Source organism: Homo sapiens, chromosome 7 (genome assembly GCF_000001405.40).
Source record: "Homo sapiens chromosome 7, GRCh38.p14 Primary Assembly".
NCBI lineage: Eukaryota > Metazoa > Chordata > Mammalia > Primates > Hominidae > Homo > Homo sapiens.
In genome coordinates this window covers 16,458,423-16,473,174 of record NC_000007.14, presented here as the reverse complement: position 1 = coordinate 16,473,174, position 14,752 = coordinate 16,458,423, and the positions used below count along the sequence as shown (strand labels likewise).

The following is a 14,752-nucleotide window of genomic DNA, read 5'->3' as shown; positions in this document are numbered from 1 at the left end:
GAAGCAAATTATTTTACTTAAAAAAATGAAAATTGAAATTGAAAATTTCTGCAAGGACTTTTTTTTTCCAGGAAAGACTGTGGCATCGTTGGGCCAAATCCTACTAAATTCTTGGGTTTTCCAGCATCCTGACATACCAGGGAACTTCATACGTAAAGTCTCTAAGCCCAAGTATCTACCAGTGATGTAAGATCATAACTGACTTAGGCCTTGCCATGAAGCCTGCTGGTACTTGAATAAGGGACTCCTCAGGGAAGAGTGATGCAACACTGCATGTGGCCAGGGCTAGGAGCCCAATTTGACTGTGGGATGTCATTAAGTCTGGTGGACAATAATCAAAATCACAACGATCCAAGTATTTTACCTAAATCTGGATCAACGCTCACCTCTGAGCAAATCAGAAGTGGCTTCCAGAATTTCTAGTGAGTGATAGTACTACTGTAGGTAGTAATTTTCATGGTTCTCGGTGTCCATTTCTGTGAAACAAAGCATTAATCAGGACCGAGGGACACTGAGAGTATCCAGTCCCTAGGGAGAAATAAATATAGCAGAAGGAAATGGGTTAGGGTTTGGGCCTTGAGGGCAGAGCTTCAGGGCAGGGCTTCCATTTGATTCTGCAAACTGGAAGTATTTGGAGCACAGGCCCAGTTAAATAGACTAGGCAACCCTCATGGGGATCATGAGTCTAGGCCACAGTTATGAGGGCATGCGTGTATCCTATAACAGTTTACTTCAAACTTTAGCATACTTAAGAATCACTTGGAAAGCTTGTTAAAACGCAGATTCCTAGGCTCCAGCCCAAGGGATTCTGACTCAAGTCTGAGGTGAGGCCCAGAATTTGCATATCTAACAGGCTCCCAGTAGAAACATTGTTTTAGACCAATTATTAGGCTGGTGGGACAAAACTAATTCCAATCTGCATTCACCACTGGGGGCAGAATGTTTAATATGCTGCCAGCCTTTGTCAGATTTAGTTTAGGGACTGTTGGACTGAACGCACACAATGAGGGCATTGATTCCTACTGTGCAGTGTAATAAATGGAAGTAAAAAGGACAACTTCCTACTGGCGCTAGTTTGTGCAATCGGATGGAAGCCCTGTCCCTGCTGTCCTCACCTACTCCCTAGTGCTTGCTTGTGAAATTTCTGGGTGGGGGAGGTGCTGTTGGCATCTAGAGGGTACAGCCCAGGGACACTGCTAAACATCCCCCACAACAGAACTTTCCAGCCCGGAGGTCAATAGTGTGGAGACTGGAGGAACCCTATCTAGATCTCTGTCTATTGGATTTGAGATTTTTCACTTGGGTTTTCTATCAGGTTACACAGGGTATTGTAAGCTGGGTTCTCTAAATTAATGTTATTCATGGTGAGGCAGTTTATAATAAATGAAACATTATATTCAACAATTAAGACCAGCAAGCATTCAAACAAAATACAAATAAAGAGACAACTAATGAAGGTGATGAGGGAGAAAGAAAGAAAATTTTACAGGAAGAGTACGTTAAGGGGAGTTCCTTTAGTAAAATTCTAACCAGGAGCTTTCTGGAACAGGAAGAGAGGGTAGGCTTCATGTCTCATTCAGCTTTGCCTGGATGACACCGTATTTAAAAAGACTGGGCACAATACACGCTAGTATGAAATGAATGAAAGTGATTATTTCATTCTCGTTTTAAGGATTTTTATGAATAAAGATTCTATGGTAGTTTGTTGTGTTTTTTCTAAACTTATAATAGCTAATCACTTTTCCATTTAACAGGTGCTATCCTCTTAAGGGGAACTCTCAGAATAGTTTTAAGCCAGAGAGGAGCAGAAATAGTTTATTCTTGTATTCAGTAAATGCTTTTTGTTTATATATTCGGAAATCCCCTTTATCTGTGATATTGCTTTCCTTGGTTTCACTGAAGGGAAAATTCCAGAAATAAACAATTGATAAGTTTGAAATTCCACACAGTTCTGAGTAGCGCGATGAAATCTCATGCCATCTTTGCTCCATCTCACCAAGGGAGTGAATCTTCCCACTGTCCAGCATCTCCACGTTGTCTACACCACCTACTATTAGTCACTTAGTGACCGTCTAGGTTATCAGATCACCTGTTGGGCATCAAAGTGCTGTGTGCTCAAGGAACTCTTATTTTACTTCATAACGGCCCCAAAGCACAAGAGTAGTGATGCTGGCAATTCGGGTTTTCCAAAGAGAAGCCGTAAAGTGTTTCCTTTAAGTGAAAAGGTGAAAGTTTTCAACTTAATAGAGAAAGAAAAAAAATCATATGCCGAGTTTGCTAAGATCTATGGTAAGAAAGAACGTTCGATCCATGAAAGAAGAAAAAAATTCCTGCTAGTTTTGCTGTGGCCCTTCAAACTGCACAAGTTACAGCCGCAGTACATGATAAGCGCTTAATTAGGATGGAAAAGGCATTAAATTTCTGTATGGGAGAGACGAACAGAAACGTGTTCCAAATGATGCCAGTCAGGTTTGGAACTGGTTTCAGGCTTTCACTGGAGATGTTGGAACGTATGCCCTGGAGATAAATGGTACTGTTGTATTCAGACGCATCCCCTGTTAAAAATTAAAAACAATTGATTAGACTAATTTTTTTAAGCCTAATGACATTTATCCATTATCTCTTACTTTGTTGGGCTAAACAAATCTCCCTTCTCTTAACTTTTTGTTCTTTACCTTAAATAGGGTAATCATATTTTCGTTCAGACTTCTCTAGTCTTTCCAAACTCATGTTTATTATTTGAAGGCTATAATATAAAACCATGCTCCTAGATTCATATTAAATGGCTATTTTTTCCACATTTCTTCTGTGCCAGGTTTTGTGTTAGACATTTTCATATATTTTTGTTCCTCTGTGAGGTAGGTAAGCGTGGTCATGTTTTGTAGATGAAGAAACTGACTAGGAGAGTTTCAGAAAGTATAACTGACTTGAACAACACAGAAGTTAGGGAGCTGACCCCTGTACAGTTGAAAATTCACATATAACTTCTCACTCCCCTAAAACTTAACTACTAATAGCCTACTGTCAACTGGAAGCCTTATCAATAACATAAACAGTTGATTAACACATATTTTGTAGGTTTTATATATATATATATATATATATATATATATATATATATATATATATAATATACTCTATTCTTAAGTAAGCTAGAGAAAAGAAGATGTTATTAAGAAAATTGTAAGGAAGAGAAAATATATTTATTCTTCATTGAGTGGAAATGGATCATCATAAGACATGTCTTCATCTCCATTGTCTTCATAGTGAGTAGGCTGAGAAGGAGGAATAAGAGGAAGGGTTGGTCTTGCTGTCTCAGGGGTGGCAGATGTGGAAGAAAATCCAAGTATAAGTGCACCCTCACAGTTCAAACCTGTGTTGTTCAAGGGTCAACTGTATATCCAAGTTCATACATATCGTAAATGGTAGAACTAAGATGCAATTTCAGATCCAAATTCAGATTTTCAAATTCAGTTTCCAAGTCATATGATGACACTATTTAGAAAATCAAAATTAGTTTCCAGCTTTTACAAATCAAGCTGCTAGTAGTAATTCTAATACCATTATATGATTATTAATAATGCCACCACATTGATGGCTCAGCTGAGGACTAGAAAATAAGTCTTTAACAAAATTTCCTATTTGTATTTTATTTTTCTTGCAATGATGCACAGCTGAGAACAGAAAATAAGTCTTAACACTCTCCCAAAGATGGCAAGATGCACAGTCACCATGTCTAATGATTCCACATCTGATGCTCTCAAGGCCCTAGCATTATTCACAAAATGACTTAATTACAAATAACATTGTACTGATTATCTGTTATATAACAAATTATCCCAAAACTTAGTTAAAACAACAAACATTTATTATCTCATAGTTCTTGTGGGTGCCTCTGGTTTGATGTCTCTCCTAAAGTTTGCATTCAGGTTGTAGGACAGGGCTGCAGCCTCATCTGCCTGTGAGAGGATTTGCTTCTAAGCTCACCCATGTCATTGTTGATGGAATTCTCATCTGTTTGGCTGAGGCCCTCATTCAGTTGCTTGTTGGTTATGAGCATCAGTTCCTTGTTACATGGACCTTCCTATGGAGAAGTACACATTATGGTAGCTGGCTTCCACCAAAGCAAACAAGAGAGTGAGAGCAGCCAGAAAGACAGAAGTCATAGTTTTTTGAAAACCTAATCATAGAAGTCACATCTCATCATGTTAGTATGTTATACTAATTAGAAGTTAATCACTAAGTTCTTCCCACACTGAAGAAAAGGGGATTGCTACAAGGATGTGAATATCATGAGAAGGGGATCATTAGGAGCCATCTTAGCGACTGCCTACCACAAATATTAGCCAATCTCTTTTTAATGAAAGAATATTTTTTCTACATTTCCTAAATACTTAATTTAACCACTTATTCCACAATACCCATAAGATAGAAATGGTTCTTCTTTCATAAGTCTTGCCAAGTCATCAGGCAAGTTGCTGCTCTGGCACATGTATGCTGGATTGAGACGAGCAGATAGAGGGAAGAGAGGACAAGGCAAGTTTTCTCAGTGCTATTGCCATCTAAACTGAGACTGGAAGGAAAAGTAGGTGATTAGCCAAGGAAGAGGATGAGGGAAGAGTGTTATAAGCAAAGGGAATAACAGGTACATACTAATGCCTGAAGATGAGAAAGAATCAATTTCAATATTAAACATCTATATCCATTCTTCTTGGGTTATTACAGTTTGTGGTTATCCTTCACTTGATCTGAGCCAAAAGGCCGAGAAGCAATAGTTTGTGGTTATTTTTAATGGAGCTGTTTTAAACTGATCAGAATAACTGTTAAGTATTAAATTTATGATTATTTCTATTTTAGCAAAGTAGTTTTCTTTCTTTTTATTTATTCATTTATTTTGAGACAGGGTCGCACTCTTGCCCAGGCTAGAGTGTTGCGGTGGTATCATGGCTCACTGCAGCCTCAACACCCCAGGCTCAAGCGTTCTTCCTGCCTCAGCCTCCCGAGTAGCTGGGACTACAGGCATGAATCACCATGCTCAGCTAGTTTTTATTTTACTTTTGCAGAGACAAGGTCTTACTATGTTGTCCAGGCTGATCTCGAATTCCTGCGCTCAAGTGATCCTCCTGTCTTGGCCTCTTAGAGTGCACGATTACAGGCAGAAGCCACTGCACCCAGCCTCAAAATAGTTCTCTAGGGGTCTGTCGGGTAAATTGGGCCTAAGAACTCTGAGTTTGTCCTGTCCACATGCACAACGACATTGCCTTCTCTTCTAATTTTGCTTCTGCCTGAGGTGATATCCTAAGGCTGAGCCTTCAGAATACTAGGTGCAGCAGATTTAATAACTGTGCGTGAATTTGGTCAACCTCATTAGCCCAACCCGATAATTAAATTCCAATTAAAATATCTCCTGCTTCTGACACAGAAAAAGAAAAAGTAGTGAGGAACAGATTAGATTATTTTGACCTTTTAATTTCCTTTAGGCATTGGGTCTGTAGGTCAATGATTAATATTAACATGCTTTGTGTAATTAACATCAAGTCCCCTGATAAGTAGGGCAGGAAATTCTTCATAGTTAGTATTTTAGAAGGATGCCTGTAATCTCCATTTGCACAAAATAAACTGACATATGATTTTCCAGGAAGGATGTTAGAATAAATGACTATCCAATCGTAGGATAGAGATATATTGTTAGTAGGAAGTATACGTCCATTAAACTGATTGTCTGACTCTGGTTTTTAAACTTTTTATTATGTAGAATTTGGAACATACACAAGAATAAACAGAATATAATACTTTACCATCCTACTGTAACAACCATCAACTTATAATTAATCTTTTGCCACTCACACCTCTAACCTCCTCATATTATTTTTGAAGCTTATTCTAGCTTATTCCATATAATGTAAAAGATGATATAAAATCATTTCATCTAAGGATATTCCAGTATATACTTCTAATAGAGAAGCAGTCATTGTTTTAAAACAAAACTACGGTACCATTTCTGTCCTAAAAAAGAACAATAATTTCTTGGTATTATAATATTTTTCCTTTATACTTATTTTTACTTTCTTTTATAGTGAGATAGATGAATAGATAATTAGTGGTTAAATTGGGGGTGATTTTACCCTGTAGGGGTCATTTGGCAATGTTTGGAGTTATTTTTGTTACCAACTAGGGGGGTGCTACTGGCGTCTAGTCGTTAGAAGCCAGGGATGCTGATAAACACACAGGATGGTCCCCCAATAATAAAGAACTGTCTCTTCCAAAATGCCAGTAGCGCTGCTATGGAGAAATTCAGGTAGGCAGACATATAGGCAAATGGCAGTTACAAGGGACAAAAGCTTATACAGAAAAGAGATACAAAATTAGGTGATTTAGGTAACCACACAAAGGACAAAAATGGATTTATAATTGAAAAGATGATTCAGAATAGTTATTCCAATTGAGATGTCCCATGATGAAATAGAATTTTATGATTGTTTTAAAGGGATCATCAGTGGCCTATAATTAATTAATGGAACACGTGTTCTGGGTGCCGGTAAAGTAATTCAGAAAAATAGGTTTCTTACTTGGGCAGCAGAGTCAAAGGAAGTAATGAGCAAAATATTTAGTAAATACGAGTAGAATCTGTGTTCTGAAAAAATCTAGAAAAAATTATTTTGAATCCGCTAAAAAGTCTGTCACAAATGGCTTTATGTAAAACAATGCTATGGATATTAATGCTTGTGACACATTTTTAAGACAAAAATGAGTATTACTTACTTTAATGTAGACAGAACTATGCTCATTATTCTCCACACAAAACCCCTGGCAATAATTTACCTAGCAGCACAGTAGTTCTTGTAGATCAAAGCTGCATTATTTAAGCATGTCCAGGGGGCAGGTTTTAGCTCTGTGCCTTTTACTTTAAGGAAAAAAAAATATTGGTTTGCTTCTTGAGAGAAAGCAATGTTTAGCTAACTAGGTGCTTCATGCAAGTCCTGCAATATTTAAACTCACATGAATTCCTCCTGTTATCTGGGAAGAACTCCCTTTCTGACCCAAATACTCTAAAATCTGAGGAAAGTACAGAACAACTGTGGGAAAGCCAGTCTCTTCAAATGAACAGCGATGTATTTTCGTTTAAATTAAACCCGAATGTTAACTAGATTCAGGAAAGGAAATGGCAGAGGAGAGTCTGTCGTTGATATAGAATACGCCTGCCTGCGTCGGCTCACAGACAAGTGATGAAGTCCAACTCTGAAATTTCAGGCAATTTGTATACCAAGCTCCTCCTTTTCTGCAGTCTTCTTTTCCATTGGTAAAATTCTTTTGCAGGGTCATGTAGGGATCCCACCCCTTCTCTGTGTTTTCACTCTGAAGCTCTACACAACTTTACACCTGAATGAACGCCAAACCTCTATGGATATATAAAGGGAAGCTTGAGGAGGAATTTCACAGTTACAGTGCAGAAGCAGAAGCAAAAGAATTAACCAGCTCTTCAGTCAAGCAAATCCTCTACTCACCATGCTTCCTCCTGCCATTCATTTCTATCTCCTTCCCCTTGCATGCATCCTAATGAAAAGCTGTTTGGCTTTTAAAAATGATGCCACAGAAATCCTTTATTCACATGTGGTTAAACCTGTTCCAGCACACCCCAGCAGCAACAGCACGTTGAATCAAGCCAGAAATGGAGGCAGGCATTTCAGTAACACTGGACTGGATCGGAACAGTAAGTGTGTTTTACTTGTACAGTTTTTTTTTTTCTTTTCTGGTAGCATTAGCTCACATTCCTGTAGAATTGTTTTATTGGTAACTAACCTGAACCGTATATATGTTGTGAAACAATTTGGGAGTAATCTGCTGCATGTGCAGGTTGGCATTCTTCCCTAGGTAGTGATTTTAAAGTTAACCTAACTAAAACAGTGGTTTAATAGTGCAAGCACAGACTGAAGTTTTATCAAACATCCACAAAGAAAACATTTCCAGGAATTAAACTATTGTTTTGTCAAAATCATGCAAAATGACCATTTTAAAAAGTATTGTTTTAGATAGCTCAAGTTCCGGTTGTTTTGTCAATTTATTTCAGGGCATATGCAATTTTGGTAAAGTGTATAAACGTAACTAATATATATTATTAGTTACCATCCACAAATAAATATAGGGAATCACAAGGGAAAAAAGGAAGCTTCCAGGAGAAAAAATTTGTTTACATTGGATTTCTAAAATATGTCTAGTGAGATAGTCAAAAGTTTTGATGATGCTCAATGTAAAAGAGGGATAAACTAAAAATGTTGGAGAATCACATTTTTCTAAAATAATTCCTTGTTGTCCCATTCAAAATTTAGATAATTGTGTATTTCTGTGACAGACTGGGGACATTTTTGTAACTTAAGAGATGTAAAACAACAGCTTAGTTGACACACTAATTGACCACTGGTTAGGGGGATTCAAATTACCCCTAACTTTTGTTTCTATCTTTTCCTTTAGAAGAGGCCATATGCTAATAATCAGGTTTTAAGAGAGAGAGAGAGAGAGAGAGAAACACTGCGCAGGAAATCTTACACAAATCTTTTGCCTCTCCTTCTTCACTCCATTCAACTACGAAAAGTAGTTTTGACTTTTGAAAAGTCAAAGCAAATTTGACTGTTAATGTCTAAGAAAGCTAGGATGTTTTAACTTTCACGAAGCTGGTTGCTTTTAAGTACACAGGACATATCTGATTATTATTAGATTACTGAGCAATGTGGTGGGTATTCGTTGTCAATGAACTGTCACTGCAAAAATGCCAAATCTGTATATACACAGGAACAGAAAGCTTGACGAGACAAAATTATTTCTGGCTATTTCCAGGTGCATTCCTGAGGCAGCTGCAGGAAGGTGAGCTGGAGGCAGAATCAGGCACGCTGAGCACACTGTCCAACCAAACAATTTACGCTTTACATTTTAATCCCACAATTCTAGATTTCTATGCATGCATGTCTATATACATAAGTTTTTCCACAACTATCACGTTCCCCTTAAGCTATATCTCTTACCTCAGAAGTACTAGCATACAGAGATGAAGTGAAACTCCTGATTCAGTTCTACTTCGACGTATCTTTCAGTACTTTTTGTGGAACCACTTCAGTGTCCCTTATCATTTTTATTTGTAAAATGTCAGCAGCCTGTACTTTTAAACATCCTTTTTTTTTTTCCTGGTTGGCAAGCCTTGATTTCTTTTCAAGCTTGTTATAGGCAATTCTCCTCAAGTTTAGATAACAAAGCAAGGGTAAGGAAAACTTAAAATATTTAAAGATTAATTTTTGCTTTAATTACATAAGGCATGTAACAAGAAACAGCCAATTAGAGAACATACCTATCAAATCCAAATAACTAAAACAAAAAGTTTGCCATGACCAATATTCAGGAAATGAACACCGTGGTTCCTTTTGCAGTTGTAAATCAGACATGTTAGGCATTTTTCTGCCATAAAATTCATGGAAATGTAGCCAAGTTGTTATGGCAACCATACGTTCCTGATTTAGGGGCTTTTATATTCTTTGAGTCTTGAGTTGTAGTGGCATTTTACATTTCAAACATGTTACTGTTTGTATTTTTTAAAAGATAGTTTGGGAATTTATGTTTAAAACATAGTTATTAAGTTTGATATGCAAAATGTCAGATGTTGTACACATGTATGTCTGAGTCTCTGCAGCTAAAGTCTATAATTGAAATAAAATATTACCGAGAGCATATGCATTATACACAATATTTAAATGGCTATCACATTTTTTCTCAACAGATTTTTAAAAAGCCTAATTAAAAACACTTGCAGACATTAGCCAATATGACCCTTGAGAAAGAGAATATTAAAGTATACTCTTAACTCATTGAATAATGAATATTTACACATAAATGGAAGAGCTGCTAACCCCTTATTGGAGAGTCAGACTAAGGAAATTGGATTTTCAAACACTCTAATAAGCAATTAGCTAATGTTATATATAAAAACAATCAGGCCTACATTTTTTTTCCCAAAAAAGTTATAGCCATGTAAACTGATGATTTTCATGAAAGTGTCCCTATACTATCCAGACAGATTTTTTTCACTGTGAAAATAAAGTAGGTGCTCACTTTCTATTTGGCAATTTGCTATCATTTGCCTATTATTTTTGTCATTGCAGATCACTTTTTAAAAGGTCTTCATTTGCATTTTTTCTCTGATGCACATTCTTTTTTGTTTCCTGCAGCTCGGGTTCAAGTGGGTTGCCGGGAACTGCGTTCCACCAAATACATCTCTGATGGCCAGTGCACCAGCATCAGCCCTCTGAAGGAGCTGGTGTGTGCTGGCGAGTGCTTGCCCCTGCCAGTGCTCCCTAACTGGATTGGAGGAGGCTATGGAACAAAGTACTGGAGCAGGAGGAGCTCCCAGGAGTGGCGGTGTGTCAATGACAAAACCCGTACCCAGAGAATCCAGCTGCAGTGCCAAGATGGCAGCACACGCACCTACAAAATCACAGTAGTCACTGCCTGCAAGTGCAAGAGGTACACCCGGCAGCACAACGAGTCCAGTCACAACTTTGAGAGCATGTCACCTGCCAAGCCAGTCCAGCATCACAGAGAGCGGAAAAGAGCCAGCAAATCCAGCAAGCACAGCATGAGTTAGAACTCAGACTCCCATAACTAGACTTACTAGTAACCATCTGCTTTACAGATTTGATTGCTTGGAAGACTCAAGCCTGCCACTGCTGTTTTCTCACTTGAAAGTATATGCTTTCTGCTTTGATCAAACCCAGCAAGCTGTCTTAAGTATCAGGACCTTCTTTGGGAATAGTTTTTCCTTTTCAAGTTTTTCAAGATGTAGGTATATCCATGAATGCAATTTGCATTTAAATTCCACGTATCCTGTAGTTTTAATTCCTCATTGTTCTTAAAAGACTGTTGATACTATAAACATCAGTGAATCATTATATTTTAAAACAGAAAAGGGCTTCTCAGATACCCTCCATCTACTGGCCCATCCCCTCTCCTAAACAAAACTCCTTCAAAACAGGTTAAAAAAAATATGTTGTCATGAATCTTCACAGTAACATTTCAGAAAGGTGCTTTTTTGGTACTCTTCATGGGAACAGTTTAGCAGCCATGAGTGATCTTCCTTTGAAAGAGAATGAAAGACCCTGTGACATTTCACTTCAAAAATAAGCCCTGTAGCTCTTTACGGTCGCATAGTATGAAATTATACCCTGCATGCTGACCCTCGCTTGGAATGGAATGCCAGAAATGCATGGCAGCAGCTAATAAGTAAAGCTGATTAACTATTTATTTGTCAATGTTATTATTTAATGAGCTTTCACATGTGATTTGTTTCAAAACTTTAATTTTTTAATGTTTTGAAACTTTTTCATGGACCTAAATATTTTCCTATATGATTTGTGGTTGATTAGAAATATGAAATACATGTTGTAGATATGTAAAATGAATATTTTAGTCTCCTTATTACATATATGTTCATGGTGAACTTTATCAATAGTATGGATCTTTTTAAATCAATAAGATGCTTTGTAAAGTTGAAATAAGTAATACTTTCTTGTTTAATCTGTGCAATCAGAAGGTGTCTTGACCTTCAATTCAATTGGTTTCTTTTAACAAAAATAAACACTGCTAAAAGTTATTGTTGTTGCCTCTAACATGTATAAAGGGTGCAAAAATTGTAGAATAAATGTATAAGGGTAATTGCTATTTTTTTTTCTAAGTCACATTCAAGCTTTGACAGAAGTATCATTCTAAGAGAGGAGACAGAGGGAGACAGGGAGTCCATCTCTTCAGTAAATGGGAGGTTGCAAAAGTTGGGTGTCAATCCAGCAATGAGTAGTCATGAGAATATCAAATTTACATACACCAGTGGATGCCAAGTCTGCTGCTCATTATAATCACCCGGAGGAGATATTATGAGACCCAATGCCCAGGTTTTCATCCACATTACATCAGAATTTCTTGGGGTAGAGCTCAAATATCAGCAGGTTTTAAAGTTTTCCAGATGATCTCAATGTACAGCTAAATTTGAGAAAGGAAAGAATTGTGAAGAAATCAGTATCTTATCTTGGAGAACATTGAATACTATTGTATGGCCCACAAACCAAAAACATGAAAACCAAAAACATGAAAAACAAAGGAAACAAAAGCTAATTTTTGAGTGTTTTCAATTTTGGCATGTTGTTATATTGAGCAACATAGTGTCTTGAAGCAGATTATACAGTTGAAGGACTGTTGTGTCAATTCAATCAAATGATTGATTTCATCACTCCAAATGAAGAAAACCAAAGAGGCTCATGATGTATTGGTAATATTTTCTGGGTTTTCCCTTTTGGGATGCTGAGCACGAAAGACTCCTTAGTAATTATTTTGTAGTAGATTGTTCTTTTTGTAATTGCTAGTCTGAAAATCACATGTAAATTACATATAGTATACTAAGCTAAACAAGAATATTAATATTGTTGCTTCCCTGTGAGAAGCAGAAGCATCTAAAAAAAACTCTAGATTTTATAATAATGCTAACTGTTATACCACCAAATAAAGAAACAAATCATAGCCTACTACTGATTTCTCTTTCAGTCTTAATAAGGATCTTAAATTACTTCATATTATATCATCATATTACTACATGAAAAATTCATAATAAATATAGGTTGAATATACTAAATATGTCTTGTTTCATATGTCTAATTTACCTGTCCATCCTCAATGTGGGATATTTAAGATAACGCAGAAAATTTCAGATACAGACACTTTGGCCATTTCTTCCTTCTCAACAAGACAGCACCTTCTACAGAAGACCTTAGAGATGGCCTCAAGAATTAGTGTGCCCTAAGATCTGAGGCGTAAAAAGGACTTGATCTGACAACAGCTTTTCACAATCAAGAAGACTATGTTGTTGTGCTTTACTAAAACAAAGGTTTTGGTGATAATAAAATGCTGAAATCTTCAGTGATTTGATTCCTAATAGTGTATTAGCAAATGGACCATAAATATACAAGAAAAAAGAAATGTAATAAAAGAAGCTTATAAATAAGACTTCTGTAGTCTCTGCTAAGTCAAAAATTAGATCTATTTCTAACGATCACATGCAATTTACTGATCCGTTTCAGGCCATGTTACATTGATGATGCATTCATTGTATCATCTTTAACATCAAATGACAGGAAAAGGTCAGCAGTCGATAAGAAAGGCCTAGAATAAAATCAGTGTCTCAGTGAAGTAAAAATTAAAAGCCAAAAGAAAGAATAGCTTTCTAGTTATTATTTTAAAATACTAAAAATCATATGTGTCTCAACTGCTAATTATATTTTGTGGTTTATTTCCAGTTAACTCATGCGTTCCAATCTAATAAACTGCATAATTTTACTATCACCTTAGTAACTATCATCTCAAAATGGTAGATTATGATAATCTTAGCACATTCTTACCTCTAGTTTACATTCATAATATCTATCCATGAAATGATAGAAATTTAGAGGTGTTCTTAATTAAACTTAATAAGCATATTAAATTTAATGAATTACTAATTTATTAAATTTACTTTGGCCACTATACATCAAGGACTTCTTCAAATGGTTTCACAGATACATAGACAAATGAATAGACAAATATATTGATATTTATAGATAAGTATACATTGACATATATATCAATAACAAGAATGAAAGAAAAATTAACAGCATATACACAAATGACTAATATATAGTATGCTAGACCTAAGCCAAACATGGACATAAAACCTTTAAAAATATCTGTTTGCAGGCTGGGCATGGTGGCTCACGCCTGTAATCCCAGCACTTTCAGAGACTGAGGCGGGCGGATCACTTGAGGCCAGGATTTTGAGACCAGCCTGACCAACATGGTGAAACCCCATGTCTACTAAAAATACAAAAGTTAGCTAGGCATAGTGGCACATGCCTGTAATCCCAGCTACTTGGGAGGCTGAGGCACAAGAGTCGCTTGAACCTGGGAGGCGGAAGTTGCAGTAAGCCAGGATCGTCACTGCATTCCAGCCTGGGCAACAGAGTGAGACTCATCTCAAAAAAAAAAATCTATTTGCAAAAAAGTTAATATTTTAACTACAGATCATTTATATTTATTAATTTGTGTTAGTTACAACCAACCAATAACTGGCAACATGCTGTTGGCCATGTTTATTTTACTATATATTTTTTGAAAAGCAACCAAAATTAGAATGTGTGTGTTAAATAAAAGACATTGAGCCTTAATTCATCTCTGCTCTATTATCAAATGAGTAAGGTTTTACCAGGAGATCTTGCAGTATCATCCATCCTATAAATCACTACTGAATATCTACTATATTGCTAGAATTTTGTTTTTACTATGTAACATGATCTGTTTACTGAGCATGATGCTTTTAATAGATGCTCAGTGGAACGGTTATACTAAGAAGTTGTGGGTAGAGATAATAATATTTAGCAGCAGCCAAATCAGAAAACCTCCAAATTTCTGAATAAAATTAAAGCTTTTGAAAGCTTAAATTTAGTATGTTGCAACTTTCTCCATTTGCCATCACCATGAAATTTTAGATATCAAAATATAATTCATTATATTTGGAATTAAAACATGATTTAGATTATATTTAACTCTAAAAAGTACTTTTTAATCTTAAAATGGCAATTAACTCCATGCCCTAAATTCAGCATTTATATGCTTTATATGATCATATCATACTGATAAAAAATGAAATGCATGGCAAGGTTTTGATGGAATCCTTGAAGAAACTGAGAAGGAG

The 14,752-nt window shown here is 36.3% G+C and overlaps 1 protein-coding gene and 1 long non-coding RNA gene across 7 annotated transcripts in view; one reads left to right on the top strand and one right to left on the bottom strand.

The window, feature by feature from the left end:
* Window positions 1–1,799: 1,799 nt before the first annotated feature.
* LOC105375168 (uncharacterized) overlaps window positions 1,800–14,752 on the bottom strand; it is a 50,690-nt gene continuing 37,737 nt past the window's right edge. For 4 of the 6 annotated variants that reach the window (XR_007060221.1, XR_007060219.1, XR_007060222.1 and 1 more), the window contains one exon: window positions 11,785–12,015. This is a non-coding gene — a long non-coding RNA (uncharacterized LOC105375168). Of the gene's footprint in view, window positions 2,556–11,784; window positions 12,016–14,752 lie in introns of those variants that run through there. The other 2 variants (XR_007060220.1, XR_007060223.1) reach the window with 2 other exon arrangements.
* Window positions 7,437–11,694, top strand: SOSTDC1 (sclerostin domain containing 1). The gene is made up of 2 exons (NM_015464.3): window positions 7,437–7,711; window positions 10,212–11,694. Exons 1-2 carry the CDS (start codon window positions 7,507–7,509, stop codon window positions 10,625–10,627), a joined length of 621 nt encoding a protein of 206 aa, NP_056279.1. The 5' UTR covers window positions 7,437–7,506; the 3' UTR covers window positions 10,628–11,694.

What these genes read in the sequence shown, in the direction of transcription:
- SOSTDC1 (NM_015464.3), top strand. Translation starts at nt 7,507, where the DNA reads ATGCTTCCTCCTGCCATTCATTTCTATCTCCTTCCCCTTGCATGCATC. An exon ending in CACTGGACTGGATCGGAACA is followed by an intron (nt 7,712 to 10,211) that starts GTAAGTGTGTTT and finishes TGTTTCCTGCAG; the next exon opens with CTCGGGTTCAAGTGGGTTGC.